At 37.2% G+C, this 25,711-nt stretch overlaps 1 protein-coding gene across 22 annotated transcripts in view; it reads right to left on the bottom strand.

The window, feature by feature from the left end:
- LYPLAL1 (lysophospholipase like 1) overlaps window positions 1–25,711 on the bottom strand; it is a 271,619-nt gene that overhangs the window by 202,577 nt on the left and 43,331 nt on the right. For 13 of the 22 annotated variants that reach the window (XR_007078557.1, XR_007078562.1, XR_001736967.3 and 10 more), the window contains 2 exons: window positions 24,208–24,402; window positions 1,612–1,721 (listed from right to left, as the gene is read on the bottom strand). The gene's annotated coding sequence lies outside the window, so the exon portion shown is untranslated. Of the gene's footprint in view, window positions 1–1,611; window positions 1,722–5,852; window positions 11,736–13,421; window positions 24,403–25,711 lie in introns of those variants that run through there. The other 9 variants (XR_001736965.3, XR_007078566.1, XR_007078569.1 and 6 more) reach the window with 3 other exon arrangements.

Here is a 25,711-nt window from a genome sequence, read left to right as displayed (position 1 = left end):
ATAGGACTGAAATGCTTTTACAGTTTAAACTCCAGTCTGCAGGCCTGACTCAGAAACACTGTAAATGCAACCAAAAATTGTTATGCCAAATTCTTAATTTCCACTGTTATTTGCCCATCTCCAAATATCTTATAAATATCATCTGAGATTTTAGTTCTAAAACTATATTAATTTTTTACAACTATATTTATATATATTAATTATATATATAATTTTTTCAACTATTTTCTTTAGTAATTCTTATAGCAAGATTCATTGTGAGTCAATTTTGTGGCTACTACATACTCCCAACCAATACACAATGATGGAACAGGGACATAATAAGCCATAATTAAAGTTTCCATTTAGAAAAATAAGGAGTGAGAGGAACAAAGCAGTTACTATTCCATAGCAGTGATGGAATCCAGCAAGGCAGGCATTGTAAAGGTCTCTACTGCAGGCATGTAGAAGTGCTCTGAATAGGCCCTGCTTCTGTCTCTGGAAGGGACTACTTTGTTCATCATTCTCCATGACCCCTGGCCTGTTCTCTGCTAGGTTCTTCCTGGTCTCCTTGGACTGTTTGGAGGTGGACATGGGGTAGTATGCCAACTTTGCAATAACAGAAGGTTGGAGACCAGTGGTTGGTTTAAGTCCATCTTCATGGTTTCTCTGGCAATATAAATTACTTCAAAACCTTAGTAGGCTTCTGATCTATTTGCTTCCAGTCAGTTGAATAGTCAATAGTACTGGTCAATAACCCCACTCCAAATCCCTCTCAGGACATAGTTCTTAGCCTGATATATTTTGCTTTCTCACTTTGATGCCTTACCCTCTCAACTTAATAGCGCCTATTTTAAAACTACCTTTAACCAAAGGTTAAAGAAAACATATTTTAAATTTTATCATAGATTGATCTCCTAAGAAAAAATAGACTGTTTTCTGTTTACTGGCCACAGAAAGCCAGTAACAACTCAAATTAGTTTTAAATCCATCCTATTTAATCAATGACAACTTTGCATCTGTAATCACACTTTAAAAGCCAGCTGGTCAACACCACCTTCACTCCAGTTAACATCCCTCTGAAAGACAGCCAGTTGACAACAGTCTTCCTCACTTCCTAGCTAAAAATCAATCTCCAAACTCTGTTTCTGAAAATCTGCCAAGTCCTTAACTCCATGGTTTCCCAAACTCTCTATATGGATTTTCTATCTCACAAGCACAGATCTCCCTTTCTTAGTAAGTAATAATTTCAGATTTTTATTTTAGGAAGTTTATTTTAGAAAGTGAGTAGTGGTCTCTTCCATTGACAGCTCTCAGTTACTTTATTAAACTGAGAAATTGTACTGGGTCAATGTGGCTCAGAAGTCTTAACTCTCATTCTTTGATGTCTAGATATAATTAGAATTTACAACCCAAGAAGGTAAGGATTTCTAGCTATCCAGCTTGCTTTGTTTCTGGAAAGCTCATGCCCAAATTCTAGGTCAATGCTGTATTATTCAGGCTTTTATTTTACCATTAACTCCACCTAATGTAAGTTTTCTTGTATATGTTAGGAAAATTAAAACTAGCTATTATAAACAAACTTCTCGCAGTGTCAATAGATAATATAATAAAATTGTATTTCTTGCTCACGTCATAGTCTTATGTAGGTTGGATGGCTTCTCCTTGTGTGGTTCTACTCCAAATAGTAAGATCCAAGATGCTTCTATTTAGTGGCATCACCATCATGGATATCTTTCCTTCTGGCCATGTCAACAGTGGAAATATCATGAAAAATCCATATATATATATATATATATATATATAGAGAGAGAGAGAGAGAGAGAGAGAGAGAGAGAGAGATTATATATATTTATTTATATATATAATATAGATAGATATAGATATATATAGATATTTTGAGATAGGCTGGAGTGCAGTGGCATGATCATAGTTCACTGCAGCCTTGAACCCCTGGGCTCAAGTGATCTTCCTGCCTAAGCGTCCCTGAATAGCTGGACTATAGATGTAGGCCACTGCACCCAGGTGACATTTTAAGGATCAGGCCTAGAAGTGGTGGACATCATTTGTACCCACATTCCATTGGGAAAGAGTCCAATGTAGTCTTCCGTGTGCACAGGAAGAGAGAATGGAATTGGAAAATTTAGGCAGTCTCTTACACAAAAGACCACCCAATTTTCTTAGTTCTTGGAACTCAACTATAGTGTACTGTCCGTACATAATAAATATTACTTGAACTACTTGAAAACAATTTTATTGAAAAAGAATGAAACATGAGAATTTAGTGCTAAAGTATTCATTTTGGGGAATTTGGCTTTTATAATTTAAAATCATAGGGAGCAAAAAGTTATTTCCTTATTTTCTTCTTGATATTATAGTTCTGCTTAAATTTTAACAATATTTTCAAATAACCATAAATGGGAAGGGAAATTAGCCTATATACAAATAAACTTAAGGATCTGTACATGTTCCAGTTTAAGCGTGTGGACCATAGTTTTGTCATTATGCAATGGAATTTTATTTCAATGCATTTTGTAGAAAATCTTCCAAAATTATATAAAACCCTAGGTCTGTCACTTTGTCATGTCAGTTTCATTTTAAAGCTATACCACTGAGAATTCTAAAGATTTTTCCATGCTTGTTTAAAAGTATGTATTTTCAATATGCAGATATTTATAAGTTATATTTCTCTAGGCCATTTCCATGACATACTTCACTAATTTACTTCCATTGCCATTCTTAGGTCCAGGACAATGTACAAGGGCACACGTGATTTCAAAGTCTTCCAGCAGCCACTCTTTCCCAGCTGGGCTATGAAAACCACACAGACATACAACTGTAGTGTAATATGCTATGAAATCAACTTTATATTTTTCCATGTGTCTTAGAACCAGGACCTCAACATTTCAGACTGCATCATATTGTGTTTTCCATTGGATTCATTGTTTGACAAGGTTTAATGATAGTAGAAATACTGTGACCTTTTCTTCACCCTAGGTAAAAACATTGCATCTCACTGAATCTTCGGCAAATCCGTTGATTACCATCTGATGAGCAGGGAAAAGTCTAGTGATCACATAAAAATGAGCAACTGAACAGATTCAGTAATAATTATTGGATTAAATGTCTGTAAGGAAAATGCTGTAATTTAACTTTATTCCAGGCCTAAATATGGAGAGAGTTAAAATATTGTGATGTATTCTAGCAGCATACTTGAAGATCTGCCAAGATTGCCATTATAATCCTTACTTGTCAGGAGTTTATATTGTCACATTTAGTTGACTATAAATTGGAATATAATACCTAAATCTCACTTTGAGCTTTAGATCTAATTATGTTTAAACTATTATATGTGCTGACACAAGAGAACACACACACACATTGCAAATCACAAACATACTTCTATGAACAAAAATTTTTCTCTATATCCCGATAGTGCTTCTTCCATAAAGAAAATTTCATTGTCATCTTGACCACCTCTCTGAAGTATCTTCATATTTCTGGTCTTCCCTTCTACTTCTGGAATGCTACCTACTCATCCATTTACTAACTTATTAATTCAGCAAACATAAACTTAGTACCTACTGTGTACCAGGACCTGTGCTGGATTCTGGAAATGCACTAAGGGCTAGCAGGTTGCCAAGGCAGCACAGTAGTAACTGCACATCTGGGCTTTGTTCAGATAGCGTATGTTCAAATCCCAGCTCTCTCATTTATTTTATAATTTCCCAATTTGTAAACTGGAAATAATAATATATTTCCTGGCACAGTGCCTGACACAAAGTAAATCCTGAATGAATGTTAGCTATTATCATCTGATAGTCTCCCTGGCTATCAGAAAGGAGAGGGATAGGAGGGGGGTTATGACAGAGAAATAGAAAATAATTAAAGTAATTATCCTGATGCACAAATTTCCTGGGACAAACCCTCATCAGCACATAATCCACACATCTTTGAACACCTTCTCAAGGTCAGTCATTCTATACTCAAGATATATTTGCCATATTTTAAAAATAGTATCTTCTCTGATTACGTTTTAGGTGAATTCATATAGAAAATGCCCAAAACATATTTACCTAAACAATAGTAATGAGATCATATGTTCATCTTCACAGTCCAATTATCTTGTTTTATTTTTAAAATGGTTAATGACAATTTTAAATAAGTTGAGGTTTATATTGTTGTTTATCTGTGCTGGTATGGGTAAAGTAAGGGCCTATTTTATTTTATTATTTTCTATTTGATTTTCTCTGATGATCTCAACATTGTAGAGCAGAGAGTATGTACAAAGTCTGCAGTGGTTCCAGACCTGGCCCCAGAAGCTAAACAAAGGCTTTATATCTGGATTATTAGCTATCAATTTGCTTATAGAAGCAAGTTTTCCTCAACATGGTGTATGAAGTTCTAGAAAACATATCTCAGGCAAATAAAATAGTACTCTGAAGAAAGGATTATTCCAAAGGGGTCATCACAGAAACATTAAAAGTTTAGGCCGGGCGCAGTGGCTCACGCCTGTAATCCCAGCACTTTGGGAGGCCGAGACGAGCAGATCACGAGGTCAGGAGATAGAGACCATTCTGGCTAACACAGTGAAACCCCGTCTCTACTAAAAAAAAAAAAAAAAAAAAAAAAAAAATTAGCCGGGCGCGGTGGCGGGTGCCTGTAGTCCCAGCTACTCGGGAGGCTGAGGCAGGAGAATGGCGTGAACCCGGGAGGTGGAGGTTGCAGAGAGCCGAGATTGCGCCACTGCACTCCAGCCGGGGCGATCCAGCCTAGGCGACAGAGCGAGACTCTGTCAAAAAAAAAAAAAAAAAAAAAGTTTAGATCCACCAAGCTTTCAGAAATCATCTTGCTTGCACTGCTCAGTTGGAACTTGAGGAAACTAAGGCTGAGACATATTCAGTGATTTGCTAAAAGCCATGCAATAATTGCAAAGTCTAAAAGCCAGGTGCATAGATGTCCCATTCATTTATTTTTCCTTCATTCATGGCTTCAGTCATTCAATAAGCATGTATTAGGCAACTTGTCTAGGCCAGGGATTGTGCTAGATGCTGGGGATAAAGTTACCAGTGAGACAGTCCTGCCCTAATGGAGCATAAATTGCTGAGGTGACTGTGGGACAGGTGAAGAGAATATTAATAAAGAATTATAATGTAGGTGCCATAAAACAGGAAGCATAAGGTGCTATGATAAAACCCAGGGGAGCCTATCTCAGTCTTGGTGTTCCCAGAAAGCTTCCTGGAGGAAGAGAAGTCTAAGTTGAAATTTGAAAAAAACAAAACAAAACAACAACAACAAACAGACAAAAACTAGACAAAAGGAGAAAAGAAGAAAAGTAGAAAGTTCTTTATCAAAGTAGACCGAGCAACAAGATAACAAATATAACTCTATACAAAACGGAGTCACCATTACTGCTCTGAGATGGTGTCATATGTTGTAATTACTAATACCACCTATCTGATGAAACTTTGTATCACATTATCCAATAAAATGTGTTGACAAAATCTTTGGTAACTGTTGAAAACTTTTCCCCAGGCTTTTTTCTCCCACACACAGAGTCTGAGTCTTTGTTAAGAGTCATGGCTTGGTTAATATATAATCCACATCGATGTTACTTGAAAAAGAAAGGGATACATTTCCGTTGCACTGAAAATAAAGTATAAAATATTTAAACAGTGAAATTTGAAACATATAGTAATCCATGTATTTTATTCTGCTGACGACTTATTTAGCACAATAGCTCACTAAAATATTCTCAGCCTCAAATGTGTAGTAGGAAATTTCCAATGAGTGTGCATATTCATTTGTGCTGAGCTGACTTTTTATGTTGTCTTAACCATTAATTTCTTCTTGTCAAAATACTCAGTGGGAAATTTTAGTTAACAGAATTATTTTTTATTTAGCATTTTTATGGACCAATACAATTTTAGGTGCTACAACAATAACAAAAAAAACAACAACTGAAGTGCTTTCTCTTACACATGGACACAGGGAGGGGAACAACACACACTGGGGCCTGTCAAGGGGTGTGGGGGAGGGAGAGCATCAAGAAAAATAGTTAATCCATGTTGGGCTTAATACCGAGGTGTTGGGTTGATAGGTACAGCAAACCACCATGGCACACGTTTACCTATGTAACAAACCTGCACATCCTGCACATGTACCCCAGAAGTTAAAATTTTTTTAAGGTGATTTCTCTTACAGGCAACTGGTATTTCACTGTTTTTAAAATTCATAAAAAGTTCAAGTAGACTATCCAACTATAGTTCACTATTTTGATACTTTACACTGTCACAGAAGACTAGGAAAACTCAGAGGTATATGAAAATATTGTTTCTAGGATTTTAGGAATGAATGGACTGTTTTGGTAGATAAAGTGATATAGTTTTATTTCTTAAGAGAATGTCTTATTGACAGTTAGGGATTCCATAAAGGTTTTGAATGACTTAATGCCTGAAAGTAAAAACGAATATATGAAATTAACAAGAGGTCTGATACAGACAACTAAAACCATGCAGATATTTGTAAAGTCACTCTTTATACAAAATGGAGGTATCATTACTTGCTTTGAGATAATAGCTAAGGCTGTAATTACTAACACTGCTTATGTCATGACACTTAATATTACACTATCCATTAAAATGTGTTAAACCAAAGTGTGATAACTGTTGAAAACTTAGCCTCTCCTCTTCCGCAAGAAACCACATCTTCTCACATCCAACACTCCTAGATAGTAAGAGCAGTCTCCTGCCTGAAAGAATCTAGTGCTCCTAAATGTATAGAATCCAGATGTTAGTGGATGGCTTCAATCATCCCACATGGGACCCATGTAGTGAACATTTTCCTTTTTTTATTTTTAATGTCCATATGTTTGTTTGGCTAGAAATCAAGTTTCATTACATGCTCCTATTATTCCACTGTATAACAATTTTATTTATAGGTCCTTCACATAAGGACTAATTTCTTTGATAGAAAGGCTGCTAATGCTTATTTAAGCTCACTATAATGAAAACAATATTGTTGAAACACCAAACAAATGCCCGACCTCAGAACCATGTCTTTGGTCCTCTCCTGGATAATGGAACTTCACAAGGTCAACTTACTCTCTGGGCTCCTTACAAAAATGCACTGAAGGTAGACAGGAACTTTATTAAATGCTGGAAATTCATGTATAAAGCAAGTATAGTGTACTTAATCTCCATATTGGCATCGAAAAATCTTCCTCATGCCAAGACTATACTTGAATTTAGGGGCTCACATAGATAATGAATGCCTTAGAAAACCATGTAGGAAGTAGGCAATTCTGTTTTTGAATACACCCTATATGTGCGTACGCATGTAGTAGAAATGGCAGTCTTGATTTCTGTTCTACTCTGCAAAAACATGTTTGGTCATGGCACATATTCCAAAACTGAATGTAAAATACATTATCTGAAATATTAAAAGTGCATTGATGTCAAGTCAGATCCCAGCCTATTCTTCCACATTGATCCATAGGTAATTAAATTATGTCCTGTAAAAAATGCTTAGCTTGACAGCCTCACTTTCCCTTTCAGAGGGGTCTGGTAGTAATCAAGGATCCCTTGTTATTAACTTTAGAAAGTTATGTTCTCAGTGCAAAAAGTTTTCCGTTTTAAGAATGTCACCTTTATGTTTCAGATGTTTACATTTTTGCTCACCTATGCAGCCATGAACAAATACATTGGTTAGTATGTGATTTAATAGTATGGTTATCTCAAGCTTCTGCAAAGTGTCTTGTCAGCCATCTCAAAGCATGTGTTCTGCAGTCAAGCCCCAATAATATTTTAATTAAATCAATCTACAATTTTCTTCAGGATATCTTGGTCAAAGTGAATTATAATGTAAACAAATGACAGATCTTGTATTATGTTATGCAAGATATACATAGTAAGCCAGTGTGAAAAATTAATACTTTAGTAATAATTTTAAGTGGCTCAGATTGTTGTCATATTCTTATTTCATCAAATACAGGGATAAAGAAATGAATAAACTTAAAAAATTTTTAAAAGATGAAATTCTCAGTTTGCCTCCAAATTAGAGGCTGCATATACATTATCCATTGTTTGCGATTATAACTTGTCTTAGGGACTGCTCAATGTGCACTCGATTGAGTGAACATGAATAAATGTTCCTAAGTGATAAAAATACCAGGTCAGCAATCACGTTATGTTATATAAATGACCTATATAAAAGATATTTCAAAACTTAAAATTCTATAGGAATGGCATGAATGTCTCGAGGTGTTTTACAGCACTAGATAGAAAAATAAGTTTTTGGAGTGATGGGCAATTATTAATATAGAAGCAATAGTTTTCTTCTAGTTTGACCTGCAGATTTTCATTATTATTTTATATAACTTTCAATATTTTCTCTAAATATAAATTTTAACATTTCTAACTAACATTACATTATCTTTTGTGCATAAATAAGTATGGGAATCCTTTATACTTAGTATTCTGTGAGTATTGTTTATTTGGTTTGGGAAATAAACTATTACTTAAGGAAGTTATCTAATAGAGAGGTTTATTTGGTTTTAGGCTCTATAATAATTTGATTCAATAGCTTATGAATAAGAGTTACATTCATTAAGTATAATTTTTAGTATATTACTACTTTGTTTTGCAAAGCTGAAAATGATTTTGATTTGAAGCAAAAATATTTTTATTTGAAAATAAGCAATAATTATGGTAATAATGATTTATTAGTATATTCTTTGTTCCAGGCTGTGTATTGGATACCTAACAAACACACATACATAAATTCATTCTCAAATGATCTTATAAGGTTTATACCATCATCACTTAACATGGAGAAGTCAGGGACCAGGATGTTTAATGAACTTGGCCCAAAATAGCAATACTTAGTAAGGTTCAAACCCTAATGTAAATGACCTAAGATGCTACAGTCTTTCTGATGTTTTCTTTACTTCTCCTCCTCTGCCCCATCACCCATACACATTACATCTCTTTTTTCAGAATCCCTATCACAGCTTCTTTTCCCTATGTATGGTCATACTTAGAGGCAGAGATTATACTACCTTGGAAAGCATTTCTTTATTATTATTGATATCTGACTGCATTTTGTTAGGCCTTTTTTATTTAAAGTGCTAAAATGCACATAACATAAAATTTATCATCTTTTTTTTTTTGAGACAGGGTCTCTCTCTGTCACTGAGACTGGGGTGCAGTGGTGCAGATCACAAGCTCACTGCAGCCTCGACCTCGTGGTCTCAAGCCATCCTCCTGCCCCAGCCTCCCAAACTAGCTGGGACTACAGGCTTGCACCACCATGCCCAGTTATTTTTTAAATTTTTTTGTAAAGACAAGTTCTCCCTATGTTGCCCAAGTTGATCTTGAACTCCTGGGTTCAAACGACTCACTTGCCTTAGCCTCCTAAAGTTCTGGGATTACAGGCGTGAGCCAGCATGCTTGGCCAAAATTTACCATCTTAACCATTTTTAAGTGTATAGTTTAGTATGTTAAGTATATTAATACTATTGTGCAAACAATCTCCAGAGCTTTTCATACTGCAAAACTGAAACTATACCTGTTTTACAATTCCCTATCACTCCCTCCTTTATCCCCAGGCAACTACGATCCTATTTTCTCTTTTATGAGTTGAACTATTCTAGATACCTCAAATAAGTGGTTGTCCTTTTGTGACTGTCTTGTTTCACTTAGCATAATGTCTTCAAGGTTCATCCATGTCGTAGCATGTCAGAAGTTATTTCATTTTAAAGGCTGAATAATATTACACTGTATATGTGCCACATTGTGTTTATCCATTCATCTATTGATGGACATTTGGGTTGCTTCACCTTCTGGCTATTGTGAATAATGCTGCTGTGAATATAGGTGTACCCTGCTTTTAACGTTTTTGAATACCAAGAAGAAGAATCACTGGATCATAAGGTAATTCTATTTTTAATTGTTTGAGGAACTGGAATATTGTTTTCCATGGTGGCAGCATTATTTTACATCATCACAACAGTTCACAAGGGTTTCAATTTCTCCACATCATCACAAACACTTGTTATTTTCCTTTTTTTTTTTTTTAAATAGTAGCCATCCTATCAGACGGGCAGTGATATATTGAGGTTTTGATTTACATTTCCCTAATGAGTAGGCATGTTGAATATCTTTTCATATGCTTGCTGGTCATTTATATATCTTCTTTGGATAAATGTCTATTCAAATCCTTTGCCAATTGTTTAACTGGGTTATTTGTTTTCTTGCAGTTGAGTTGTAGGAGATCTTTATGTATTCCAGATTGTAATCTCTTATCAGATAAATGATTGGCAAATATTTTCTCCCATTTCATAGGTGCATTTCACTTGTTGATAGTATCCTTTGACATACAGAAGTTTGTAATTTTGATGTAGTCTAATCCATCTATTTTTACTTTTGCTGCTTATGCTTTTGCTGTCATACCCAAGAAATCATTGCCAAATCCATTATCATGAAACTTTCTTCTTATGTTTTTTTCTAAGAATTTTATAGTTTAGCCCTCATTGATCCATTCCGAGCTAATTTTTGTATACAGTATAGGGTAAGGGCCCAACTTCATATTACACTATTTTTTTTAAAAAGTATGCATATATGTTTGTGTGTATGTATGTATTTATATTTTTAAATGAACTGCACTGAGTCTATCTGAGCTCGGGCATTACTGTTGAGTTATAGAAGAGCTAAGTTGTTTGGGGGTCTCAAATCTATGTGATAAATATCTCCCTTAAAAACTCACAGACTTCAGGTGAACACAGGTAGTAAAAAATACCCTTTCCAAAACAAACACAGTATGAAAGCTAAGATAATAAAATGTAGAATTTGAAGAGAAAACATGTCTCCTGAAATCCAAAGGCCAGTTGTATGAAAATGACTGTGGCAGAAACATATATAATTTCAATTGTATAGGAAGGGACAATAGTCTCAAGACATGTGTCATGGAGAACATAGAAAAAATACAAAATGGTCCCTATTTCTGAAAGCATTTATTATTAAGTGAAAATATGACAGCTAGTATATGCCACATAGAAAATAATTACATATACATATTGGTAGTTATTTGACATAGCCTTTACCCTCATGAGAACATATATAGAGTTGTCTATAGATATTGATGTTCAACATGTAAGGGAGGCATGCCGAGCTTGTCAAAGCATGGCAGACGGTCTACAGGGAAATTGATGCAGACAAAACATCAGTCTGGTTGGACTTCCCCAGGGAGTGTTTTTGCCATCTGTTTAAAAATGAATGATCCTTTTTATTTTCTAGCTTTAGTGTTGTTGTTAAGAAAATTAGTAAATAAAGGTTTAATAACATACATTTTCTACCGTTTACTAGTGACATTCGTTCTCTGAAAAACCTCAATACATGGAAATACACACCCACATATACATATATATACACAATATATGTATATTATATACATACATGTGTGCTTATTAATATGCACATTTGCATGAATATATTTATATATCAAGGTAAACTCTTGTTGATAGAAAATACAAATATTTTTAGTCCGGAGAATGACTAAATGAACATACCATGGGCTTTGACATCTTCATGTTCTTGCATTGTTTTACAGTTTAGGACAGTTATTTCCATTGCTTACAATCACAGTGTTTGATGTTTCCAATGTTCTCCTCTAACATGTTTCAAACAACCCTTTCTACATTCTTGTCATCTGGATCTCATCTCCATGTATGCAAGGTATTCACCCACACGGCCCTCCATCTGTATGGAATTGTTAAGGGGTCTTAAAGATGATTTACTTAAAATTCTAAACATTTCAATATACCAGCAAGAAGGACTAATTTAAAAGTAACATTCTATTTTTTTAGAAATGCCCTATGAGTTAGCTGTCATTGTTAATGGTTTTTATTAGCTATTTGCAAAGATTTATATAATTACATTTTGACAAGTAATTTTTTTAAGAGAGTCTCTAAAAATGACTTCTGAATCAGAACAATGCCCACGTGGGTGGGTGGTCAAGTGGGATTCTGTGAGTCTGGCACAATGTTGGATGGAGAACTGCCCTGGCATGGTTGTCTTAAGAATTCAGCTCTTGGGCTAGAACGGTGGCTAGTAAAAACAACTTCCAATCAGCACTCTAAAAAGCTGTTTTGCATCAATCCATGAGTATTTAAGTTGAACAAACATTTTGAATTTAAATATTCACTGAGCATTTAGATAACACTTTAGGCATTAAGAACCAACTGAGTTAATAGAATAGGGTTAAAGGAGACACAGATGGAGGCAGATTGTTATATTTGGGGATAGGAGGTTGTCTGCTAATCTTTAATTATAATTACATTTTAAAACTTTAATGCCATAAGATTAGCTTGATACATATTTTTCTTGTATCTTTCTTTTAGACAAGATTGAAAACATTATGAATCAGGAAAATACAATACCACAGAAACTAATTTTCTCTTGATACAGAAACTAATTTTGTCTTGACCAATGAATTGACTTTGCTAAGTCAATCAAATTGCAAGATAAACCTACGGCCGGGTGCGGTGGCTCACGCCTGTAATCCCAGAACTTTGGGAGACCGAGGTAGGCGGATCACAAGGTCAGGAGTTCGAGATCAGCCTGGCCAATATGGTGAAACCCCGTCTCTACTAAAAATACACAAATTAGCCGGGCGTGGTAGCAGGCGCCTGTAGTCCCAGCTGCTCGGGAGGCTGAGGCAGGAAAATTGCTTGAACCCGGGAGGCGGAGGTTGCAGTGAGCTGAGATTGTGCCACTGCACTCCAGCCTGGGTGACAGAGTGAGACTCTGTTTCAAAAAAAAGATAAGCCTACCATACAGTTTTTAAGTTGTTGAATAGTGAAAGTAACTCAGGTTACTTCTTATTTCAAAAGTTTCTATTTCAGAGAAAAATCTCTTATTTTTATTTACGTGACTAAAAGGCCATTTGTGTGGTAACCTTAATAATACATTGCCCTACAGATAAATGTAAGTCTCACCCATTTAAATGACAGAAAATATTTCCAACTTTTGAAAGGGTATTTTGCCCTCTTCAAATCATTTCAGTTTGTATGATTAGAGGACCTTGATAATATTAGTTTAGGGGAAAGGATCCAAGTGAAAGGGGAAAAGTTCCCTTGTCCCCCTCGCAGGGCATGCGATGAGGGTGTGGCTCGTTTCTTTAGTGTCCCACTGCTCAAACCTCTAGGAGAGCATTCAGACGGGCAGGCTATGGGGCTCCGACCCCACAGCAGTGTCTAGCGGTGAATACTTACAGCTGAAGCCCTAGTGGGCGTGTATTACAGTGTGCTCTTTTAGTTTTGCCATCTATAGGCGGCCTGTGTTAACCAGCTCAATTGGACCCTGTACCTTGTCGCTAGGACAGAGAGATTTCTGTATCCCGGGATTTTGCCCTGGTTTACCGGAAGAATCGGATGATACATGGGCTTGGAGAATTAGTGCAAGGTTTTATTGAGTGGAAGTAGCTCTCAGCAGATGGGGGAGCCAGAAGAGAGATGCTTTTCGCCGGGAATCAGGCCACTCCCTGTCCTTCCTCCAATTGCCCCAGCCAAGCTCTGCGTGGTTCTGCTGTTCGGTAGCCTGCGTGTCTCTCTCTCTCTCTCTCTCTCTCTCTCTCTCTCTCTCTCTCTCAAAATGCTTGTCCTCACCTATGTCCATGGGAGTTCAGCCCTAGTCAGGGACCACACCCTTCCCCGCTTCCGTATCATTTAAAGGGACCACGCTCTTCCCTTCCCAACACTTCCATATCGGAAGAAATATTTACATACCTCTCCTTTTACTTACTCTCAATAGCTCAAAACGCATTCACTTGCAGGTGACTTTAGGCAAATTATTTACCCTTTCTGTCTTTCAGTTTACTCATATATAAAATGGGAATACTAGTAATATCTATTTCAAAGGGTTGTGGTGAAGATTAAAAGAGTTACAATACATATAAATTGCTTATGGCCAGACGCAGTGGTTCACGTCTGTAATCCTAGCACTTTGTGAGGCCTAGGCAGGCGGATCACCTGAGGTCGGGAGTTCGAGACCAGCCTGACCAACATGGAGAAACCCTGTCTCTAATAAAAATACAAAATTAGCCAGGTGTGGTGGTGCATGCCTGTAATCCCAGCTCCTCAGGAGGCTGAGGCAGGAGAATCTCTGGAACCTGGGAGGCGGAGGTTGTGGTGAGCCAAGATCGCGCCATTGCACTCCAGCCTAGGCAACAAGAGCAAAACTCCGTCTCAAAATAAATAAATACATACAAAATAAAATAAATAAAGTGCTTATAATTGTATTTGAAAAAATATATTTCCAGATAACTACTTACCACAGTGATACAACGAGCCATCAGGCATATATTCTATATGGGAAGCTTGAGGAAATACACGTAATCGTAGTAAACAAAATAATAAATTATGTCACGTGAAAAAAAATCATATTTACTTGAGATAAGACATAGCAACATTTAAGGGGAACGTTTTCTATATTGGAGATTGCCGCAGGAATTCCAGTTGCCTACCCAGCATTGATTTTCTCACTTTCCAACTTTTTTTTTCTTTCTTTTAGCAGAATCTAATTACATTCGGGTATCTGCTCTCCATAAAGACATGTGCTGCATGAAAAGGTGATTCTATCCCCAATTGTAGGTAATAAACTCTACTCTGGCTAAGCAAAGCATGATAATTCCACTTCTCTCATCAGTGATTGGTTTAGAAATGGGCATGTGACCCACATCTGGCCAATAAGATGTGAGAGTTGGTCTTACGGGACCCTTTAGGGAAGTTTTCTCACTCTCAAGAAACAGCCAGGAAAAGAGATGGTTTCTCTTTGTTCTCTTGATGACGTTACATCTGAATGTGATGCCTGGAACCGCTGAAGCCGTCTCTCTACCAGAGAGGGAGTCAGTCTGAGAGCAAAACCAGCCCTGTTAGCATGGCGGTGACAAGTGATGGGATGAACTTGGGTCCTGAACAGCCTGGCTACACTGTGGAGGGCTCTAGGCTTACTCAACCTCTGGACTTCTGTGTGTATGAAGCAATATCTTTATTGCTTAAGTCAGTTTGAGTTAGTATTTTCTATTACATGCTGTTGCAAAGCATCCAAGCTGATAGAATATCCTTTTAAAATAGACAATACGGAATAAGTTATTATTTAAACATATACTGTTCTCCGTTAAGAAAACCATATCATGGAGAAAGGGTGATATAATAACATTCCCTCTTTTCTTCTATAAGGTGTTAAAATCCTAAGATTAAATTTTTTAAATGTCATTTTTCAATTTTTTTTTGCCAAGTCCTATGCAATCTAAAAACACTCCTGTGGCTGTTTTCCAAAGTCATGTTGTACAGCAAAAGTTTCCATTTAAACTACAAACTCCTTCCCCAAATGGGACACACTAAATTTAAGGAAAGCTGGCATTTAAAGTGCAAGACTACAGAATTTTCAGCACTATAACTGATCAAAATGAACAAAAAGATGCAAAAATAACCTTGCAAGTGTTAATACTTATAAGTAGGAAGAAGCCCAAATTGATTTCATAAACTAAGAAATATTAGCCAGGAAAAACACAATATCGAAACAGACACCACAAATCAACATCCAACTCCTGTCTTTGAAAGAGGAAGCAGAGTGGTGGGAAGTCAGTAAAGACAATTCTGAAAATCTTCTGAACTCCTCTGATTTAGACTTTTTTTCTCGAATGGAATATGGATGTGCTACTAGAATGTAAACTCCTCAGAGCAGAGATTTTCGTCTGCGTTGCTTACCAAAATCTCTCAGCATTTACAATAATGTTCAATAAATGTTCATTGAATTAATTCATACATACACTGTCATCTTGGCAGAATTAGGCCCCTGCATAGGGGTGTGAACAAGTTCAAACAAACGATGCAGTTTTTTCCACATATCACTCATTCAGTACAAAGACAGAAGAGTTGAAATTATCTTAAAGTATACGTTGGTACTTTCTACTTGCCTGGTTGTTATAACACAATCATAAGATATTGAATTGGTTTTGCAAGTAACTTAATGAAGTACATAATACTTAAACTTAATGAGACTATCTTTATATATGATTTTAAACTTTTCCCCTAGTTAATTCACATTCCTCATTATATTCATCTTTACAACAACTACCAACAGTTGCTTGAAAATTAACTCTTCTATTTTTGAATAAAGAAAATGAGGCAAAATAGTTTGGCAATAAATATTAACTAATAAACAGTTAACTGTTGAATATCTATTGCACACAAGATATCAGAGTACCACAGCATGCATGTTAGAGTTGTTGGTCAGCAACAAAGCTGGATCAGAATTTGAAGTCATTGAGTATTCACCTTTTTTTTTTTTCTATGTGTTATTCCAAAGAGATTTCACATCAGCTACCAGTTACTTTCAGCTGATAGCAGCTATCTATTTGATGTGCTGTGTTGAGAAGGGTTAAGAACCTACGTGGCTTCTCAGGGAAGAATATTTTGACCGATGATCAGTGTCTTCCAAGGACAGAGTGGGAGCAGAATGCATGCTGTATATTTGGCAGCATTTTATAGTCAAAAACAAAATGTTGCCTTTATAAAAACTAAATCTAACCTCAGGGAAAACAAAGGCAAAAAACAGAGGATCAGATCCCTGGATTCTTATGAAATAAATATAAAAGAACATCCAAATAAACTAGCAGTTAAAAAAGCCAACCAGAAATGATAGTTATGTCATTGTTCAGTATTGCATGTCAATTGTGTGGCAATCACTGTACTAGGCACTAAGAGAAAAAAGAAAAGATAAAGGGATAGATAGCCCTTAGCCTTGAGTTCAAAATATGTAGTGGGTACAGGACCAACATGTAAAAGATGAATACAGAAACATGGAGAACAGAGAACATGAGTGACAACTTCTACCATAGACACTTGGGCAAGGCATTGCGTCACTCAAAACTTGTGTCTAAAACGTTTAGTTTGTCAATTGAGGGAGAAGGAAAGAGCATTCCAGGTAGAAGGAATAATATGCTACACACAAAGTCATGAAAAGGTTTGGCACGTCCAGGAAATATTGGCATGGTAGAAGCATCAGGTGTGTGTGTATGTGTGTGTGTCTATCTGTCTGTGCATATGCACTGTAACATGGGAGACGAGAGGCAGGAGGTGAAGCTGTGATGAAGCTGGTAAGGACCAGATTGTGAAGGGATTTACTGCTGAGCTAAAGAATTTGAATGTTATTCTGAAGACAGACTAACATGGGGAGCCAGCAGGGCTTATTAGGTGGTGGAACAGACCAATAACTCTCAGGGCACATGGGAAATAAATAGGTGGAAGAGAGGAGAAACCAGAGGCTGGGAGATCCATCCAAACTGATTATGAGGAGGGTAGAACTAAGAGGGAGTCAACAAGGATGATTTAGATGTCACAATGGAAAGATGTTGCTTTTATAGAACATCAAAAGCATCTGTTAACTGACAAGTGAGAAGATGAGAGGGGGGATGAATAGATGCTGACATAATGATATTATATGGAGAAAAAGTCATTTTTTAAAGATCACAAAAGGAGAAGCAGGTTCCAGGATGAACCACAAAAACAGTAACTCAACTTCTGTCCTGGGCTCTTTATATTAAATCTCACCAGAAACCCATTTTACAGGTAAGGAAACAAATACTTGAAGAGATTAGCATTTTTCCCCCCAAATCACGCATTTGGTAAATGTAAGAATTTTGCATTGTTTTGAACATATTATGCCTGGTGAGCAACCAGGAGAGGAGGCCCAGCAGGAAGTTAGAAACATGAATCTGGAACTAGGATGAGTGCTTAGGGCCAGAGGTATAGACATGGAGCCAGCAGTCTGAAGCCATAGAAATAGCAGCTCAGCCAGAGAGAGAATAAAAAGAAACAATAGAGTCAAAAGGACCTTCCACATTAAGGGGCTAACAATGAGTGGGTCATTGAAAGAAACAGGAAAATAGCTGAGAGAGACAAGAAAAACTAGACTGCAAGGTCCAAGTTTCTAGAATCGGAGGTTAATCAAACCCTATAAAGATATGGAAAAGATAAGGACTGAAGCAGGCTATGGAATTAGAAAATTAGAACTCTGAAGGAAATGATTAATAACCTCCAAAAACTCCTAAATACATAATTCTACACTATGACTATAAACATTAGATTGGGCCTGCTATCACACTGAGGCAGAGGGAGAGACCAATGCATTCCTTTAGCAGAACAGTAAAAACTGAGCTAAAAGCAGCATGAATATTAAAATGTCTACAAAGGAAATAGTTCTGAATCTACAACATTTGAATGTTATATGAATTTTCAGCCATATTTTTTTCTGAACACTACCATTATGGCAGTGTGGCACAGTGACAATAACATCCATAAGGAGAATTATGTTTTTGTCCTGCATAATCAGAACCATGAGTACGTCACCGCTGTTCTTTGGATCTCTGTTTCCATATGTATAAAATGATAATCTCTGAATTCCCCTCCAGTAATAAAAGTTCTTTGATTCTATGGAAGAACTAAGACAATGTTAACCAGCTGACCCAAAACACACGACACTTCATAGGGTAATTAAGAAGTCCCCCTCAAAAATGCATTTTAGCTACTATTTGAAATTGATATTTTTTCTCTTGCCACTTAAAAATACTGTTGTTAGACTTACCTAGAGATTTATTGCTGTTGAAGTAAAATATTTTAAAAGAGTCATATATTTGCTCTTGCCAGTTAGTTCATGTTGTGAACTTTCATTTTTAACACTTCTTTCTTTCTTGTTACATAATCGAGAAGCTGGCTTAATACCTAATGCCCAAAGGAAAGACTTCTGTCTCTCATGGACACCCCCACTCAATATTTCAATTTCAGTAATTTCATTGGCAAAAGAACACATAGCAGAAGTTGCCAAAATTAATATGTTAAGTAACTAATATGTCAAGTATATCTCTAGTTTCAATTGGACAAGCCAATAACTGAACAGGAAAAATCAGGGTAGGGAAGAAAGGGAGACAAAAAATGGAAACAGAGTGATTTTTAACTAAAGTAATACTATGCCTTTAAGAGTAGAAAGTGAAACAGCAAAAGAAAAAAACAAAACAAAATACCAATTATGAATTTATCACAATAAAAACTGAAGTAACAAGCTATTTTGTAATTACCCCTAAAACAAATTTAAAATAAAATGGAAAAGCATCAAACTTTCTCATTGCTTCTTAAGAAAAAAAATAAAAGATCCCAGAAGCTCTGAACCAAACTATTGGCAAAAACATAAGTCTCTTATGGGCATTTTGCCCAAAATATGATTTCTTCAGAACAAAACATCCACTATTCATCATGGAACCATTAATTCTATTCTTGTTATAAAAATCACATGACTTTCAAAACCAAATAGAAAACTAAAGGCCTAATAATATCACAAAGAAAAAGCACATAATAATGAGAGGATAGCACAAAAATATATTTTGAAGTAATATTTTACATTTTTGAAAAGTCCACTCAATATTTTGAATATAATTTCACACTTATTTTCTAAAGTACTCAAGGGCTAGAAAACAAAGAATAAAGGTTTTGCAGGAGGATTATAACAGGATTCGAGGGAAGTCAATGGCAAATGTTGAAAATGTTGATCAAATTGTATGGTTTACTGGGCAATAAATTATTTTTCACTTTATTTCCTCTTAATGAGGAGAAATTAGGGAGGCAGGTGACTGTAGGCTGAGGGAAGACATCCAAACAACTACCCAAATGGTGTCCTATTTGTTGCTACTTCTCTTTCAGGTGGGAAAAGCTTGGTCCACCTCAGCCTTGGGCCCATGCTTTTATATCTAGTATTAACATTCATTCTGGATGTGTAGAAGTCTCTGCCCTCTTTCAGACAACAGTTACTGCTATGGTTTGAATGTATGTGTCCCTCCAAGATCCTCATGTTGGAATTTAAACCCCAAGGTGATGGTATTAAGAGGTGAAGCCTTTTGGAAAGTGATTAAGTCATGATGGCTCTGCCCTCAAGAATACATTAGTGCTCTTATAACAGAAGTTGAAGGAACCCCCCTAGTGCCTTTTGCCTTCTCCATTCCACAATGTGTGGATATAACATTCTGCCATATGAGAATTTAGCAAAAAGACACCATCTTGAAGAAGAGACAACCTTCGCCAGACACCAAATCTGCTGGCACTGTGCTCTTGGACTTCCTTATCAATTAATGATTCTATGGTATTTTGTTATAGCAATGGGAACAGACTAAGACAGTTAAAGAGCGACACACTTGCATTGAGTGTAAAAGGAGGGAAACTTACAGTCCTTTTAAGCAGAAACCAAGCAAGTTGCTAGACAGCTGGCTGGTACAACTGGAAGATGAGGGGGGTGGTGTGCATGATGGTTACTAAGGAAAAACCAGCAACAGAGGGACTTCTCCTAAAGTCCATCATGCCGAACTTTGATCCATTTGAAGATGGCAGTGAAACACCTCAGAACTTTGTTTTGTTTTCTTTACAACTACGCATGCCTGCTTTCAAGAAGCTTTGGCCCTCTCAGGGAGATTTCCCTGAGACAAACAATTTCCCATGGGAAACAAAAAATGGGCCTTGATTAGTATTCAGGGTCTTATTTTTTAGATTGAGTTTACAAAGCTGAAGAGGTTGATGCCCTGAAGTGTGAGAAACTGACCCCTCAAAATCAAAATAAATTCTTGCAAGCAGCTGCCACATTAACTCAAAATTGAAATGTGGTTTGCTTACTGCATAGTGTCACTCTCCTTCATGGAGAGCCCTTTGATCCATCCCTCCTCCTCTCACTGCCTTAAGTGGCATGAGAAGGATGATTTGATATAGGACAACATCTCCCTGCTCCCAAGAGGGATTAAAAGCCATACATCTATTGAATATTTTGAAGAATGTCAGGTAGGGAAAGGATTCCAACTTTTGTGGCTCTGTTGGATTCTAGCACGTGAGTTATCATCCTACTGGGTCCCATAGGGCGAGGATATGTCCAAATTTGAGTTGGGGCAGAGATCATAGTGGGGAAGGGAAGTCACCATAACGTGAGTGTTGAGCCCTCTATTGTTTTAACATATTGTTGTTTTGGCTTCCACTACTGAAAGTATAAGTGGTGTTGATGTTTTACATGCCTATACTGTGAATGCTTGCAAGTACCAAAAGGGATTTTACTGATTGGAAACAGCCAGATGTAGAGAGGTGCTAATACTTCTGCAGTCCCACATCTTCAATGATTCCTTTGAGTTACACATCTCCGTGACTCTAATGTTGCCAACGGGAGCCTCTGGCAAAGGAAGGTGGCCTCCACTTGGAGGTGCCCCTTAGACTTTGGGCTTTGCCTCCTTGAAACAGCTACCAGCAGATAGGCCTCTTTTGAAAAGCAGCTATTAGTTTACTATTCGGTGGGTTCTTGTTGAAACTGAGCACCCGACCCCCAGGGGAACTGTAACTCTTTGACTTGATATTTCAGTTTTGGCAAGATCAACTCAGACTCCATGACTAACAAAGTGAAAAGGGTCCAAAAAAGCTCACTTGTCAAATAGAAATGGTAAATCAAGAACACAGCCAGCCTGGCTTTGGTGACATCTAGGTGCTACATGAAAAGATGCAGCTTTTCTTCTCCACCACCTATAGCAAGATGCTGGCTCAGTGGAGCCCCTGATTCATAGAGGTTCCCCATAATCACTTGGCCTGCTTCACCAATGCTTCGGCTAAGCTGAAATCTGCTGGTGTCCACTGGGTGGCTTCAACTGCTCAGTCTCAGGCAGGACCAACTATTCATAACTGAAAATAGACACAGTCATCACTGCACTTAGTGGTCAGAACTGAAGGCTGTTCTCACAGCTCTGGCAAATAATACTCTTGATGCGTAGGCAACAACTGCATGCTAGAATTTTGATTCCTGCAAAAAGTTGACCTGGTTGTCTTGCAATGAGGGCAGCCACACAGCATGGGTCATTGACATTGACCATATGTTTCTGACACATTAATCACATCTGCCCTGTGACGTCTCCTAGGGGTTGTAAATGCTGCCTTACTGCAATTAACACTTTTTCAGGTTGTGTATTGGTGTTCCAGTCTCGTAAGTTTACTCCGGGCACAACACTGTGGCCCATGAAACTAATCTGTTGTATTTTTGACTTTATGGGCCACTTGGTATCTGACAATAATGTGCCTTTTATTGCAAAACACTTCAACAATGGGCTAGTAGTCAGATTTGATGGATCTTTTATGCTCGCTATAATTCTCAAGGATCTAGAATTGTTTAATGTTGGGCGTTCTCCTCAAAAATCGACTCCAGAAATGTCATGTCTGGCTGTACCTTCCGCACTTTCTTCTGGTTCACATGCCTTAGTAAGGCAGTTTGGTCAGTAAATGAAGGTGTTCCCAGAAAGAGATCATCTCCTTTCAATGATATTCCAGGTAACGGCCAGAAGGAAAGTGCTGGGAGCTACTTTGAAAATCTGGCATTCCACCTGACAATTACTGGGCATGATGATGCTCTTTTACCTAATGGGTAGCCCTAGGGAAAAGTCCTTCTTTTCCCTAATGGTAGATGGTACTAGTAGATGGCTGGCCTGCTTGATATGCCTTCTGAGAGGCTGCTTAGTAAAAAAGAGGCAGGATATTTAAACTTAATTCTGGTTAACAGATATGGATTTACTTGTTGCACTGACAAGATCTTAGATCAAAAAGATAATGGCTAATTGGTTGAGTACATTACTCGCCAAGTACCCCTACAGCGGTCCATGTGGGCCAAAGTAGGGTGGCATAATGGGTCTCTTGTATGTTTTTTAAATGCTCTAGTCCCTTTTGTATCTAGTCCTTCTGGAAGAAAGCTCTGGATTAGGGCTGATTGGAAAAAAGATGAAGTTATAGCTTCTGAAATGGGACACAAAATTATTATAGGGAAAGCAACAATTCTAGGACCTGAGAACCCTCCAGTAGCTACACAGAAGGGAAAAACTTTAATCATTGCTATCTTCCACAACAACCCCTGGAGCTTTCCTTGCAAAGGAAAACATGATGTTGTTCTCCCAAACTGTTGCAAGCACCTTAAATTTAAATTAAAGTTGAAATTAAATTTGACTGCTAGGCCTGCCATACCTCAACAGAGGACTCACTAGTTTATCACTATTCTCCTTTACCTTACTGAGAAGTTTATGGAAATAGCAAAAAAGAGCCCCAGCTCCTGTACCACACCTGGGCTTGTGTGTTTGTGTGAGTTTACACAGACACATGCACACACACACACACAAACATGAACCCACCTACCAATACCCCCAGGATCTTCCCCATTTCTCATAGAATAATAGTTGTCACTATTCATTCTGTGGTATGGACAGATGCCACCCAACTGGTGGTGCAAACAGCACAGGAATGCCCCTGGGCATCCCCTGCATAAACCAAGAACTGCACTCAATTGTTTTAACTAACTGGGAACTCAAAGGCTTACCAGATGGCCAGAAGACCACACTGAGGACATGGTCACCTGTTCCTGTGACTGATATTGGTCCTGTTTGAGGTGGCCTAACAAGTGTTAACTTGTCTCTAGAAAACATGGTGACTTTCACCTTTTGTAAGAAACTTTGGCATTTAAGGAAATAACACAAATCACTCTTGTAGACTTCAGGTGACTGCAGGGATCTCTCCAAAATGAGGCTTACCTTGGTTATTCAGGAAAACTTTCTGGAGAGAAAACTGATTTGTTATTTAAGCACAGTCTGAGGGCCCATGATCCCTACAATGGGAATAACTATGAGAATAATTAGAAAAGTTGGTATGAAGTTTGTGCCAGTCTTTAGCTAAAATGATTAATGATACCATCTTGGCCCTGGAAGCATTCAGGTCCACCTCAATTCACTAGCTATGGATGCTGTGAATGGCAACACTGTCCTAGACACTTCCTCCTTGCAGGCCAAAGTGGAATCCGTGTACTTGCTCATACATCCTACAATGCTGGGACTAATGTTTTGGACAAAGCAGGAAGGTCAGTACAGAAACTTAAGGAGGAGGACAGCTGGCCTCCTAATGCACACCCTTAATCATGGGATTTGTTTGGCTGGATGGGGCCAGGACCCCGGGAGGCACAGTTGAGGTTAGTATTTCAGGTTGGCCTCATTCTGGTACTTGCGTTGTTATTCATGGTTGTCTTAATTCAATGCTACATGAAACAAATTGAACTGATTTCATTGCAGCTAAATGGCAGAATTGAACAAATATGAAAAAGATAACACATGCATGGGTCTGTATCTTACCTTCAATATAGGAATATGCTTAGTCTTCCCTTCAGAAGGCTGGTGAATCGGCTGTCTTGAGTGATCATATAGTCTGAATTTTCTTGAAATGTTTACATCAAGTGTGTCCAATTTTTTGGCTTCCCTGGGCCACACTGGAAGAAGATTGTCTTGGGCCACACAAAAAATACACTAACACTAACAATAGCTAATGACCTAAAAAAAAAAAGGCAAAAAAAGTCTCGATGTTTTAAGAAAGTTTATGAATCTGTGTTTATTCAAAGCTGTCATGGCCCACATGTGGCCTGTGGGCTGCAGGGTGGACAATCTTGGTTTACATGCTTTTGGCATTTTCCTGAAATAGTTGGTAACTTGTAATTACATGGCTTTGCTAATTCTGTGCTCTTGTCATATGTCAAGAAATTTTTTTCATCTAATGAAGACATTGTTTAAATATGTTCTTGGTAATAATAATCTGGACATTTTATTTTACATATCAAAGTACTACACATGCTCAATTATAACCAGTCTGCCTCCTATTTTGTTCTCAGTTCATTTTGTTATACTTCAATTGAACTATCCAATTTCCTATAAACAATATATTTAATTTCCTTACTACTGATGGTCACTGCCTATTCAGTTTTCAGCTGAGAAAAAAATCCTATCAATAAACATTTTACTTCTCTTTAAGGATTATAAAGTAATAAAGCCTGTTATAAAACTTCAAGCAGAAGAACTATATAATAAAAAATGAAAGTCCCCCTTTACTCACATCCTAATGTGTCTCTCTCCTCCTTTGCAAAATTCCAGTTCCCCCAACACATAAATGTAATTTATTGTGATACTGATTTATGCTTTCTTCTTGCTGCAATTTCTCCTCACTCATGTAAGAAAGTATCATGGCTACTTCAACTTCCTGGCCTTAGGAAATGTTTATATGTGCAAAGCAACAGAAAGTTTTGGGGTAGGGGGCATGAAGAGAATGGTTGAGTGGTTTCTTAGGAGAGTAAAACCTTAAACTCCAGGGTTCCCAGCCTTAGCAATGATTTGTCAGGCTCAAATATTTGGCTTTAAGAGACCACACATATGTGGGCAATCACCATCTCAAGGTGAATGAGGAGTAGATAATTGAAGGTCTCCTCTGAATATATTGCCCTGTGCAAGGGGCCCAGACCTTGCATGATTTAGAATGAAGAGTTCATAACTAAGACTGAATATCCTAACAGCTAATTAGATGGAGGACCAGGATTGAAGATTATATAAAATATTTCGATATATCTTCCACACATAACTCAGTCCGTGAAGAAAGATTTACAACCATCTCTCACACACACACACACACACACACACACACCAAACCTGGCAAAACAATACTAACGATACCTTGAATCTGTTTAACTTTTCATTTTGTTAAAGACTTACAGAACAAGCATTCATTAAAAAATCTGGATTTCTTTCCTTTAAATTATATTTGGTATATACACTGAACATGTCACAAGCATGATATCTATGACACATGCATATA

This window comes from Homo sapiens, chromosome 1, assembly GCF_000001405.40.
Source record: "Homo sapiens chromosome 1, GRCh38.p14 Primary Assembly".
Taxonomy (NCBI): Eukaryota; Metazoa; Chordata; class Mammalia; order Primates; family Hominidae; genus Homo; species Homo sapiens.
This window is presented reverse-complemented; position numbering and strand designations above follow the sequence as displayed.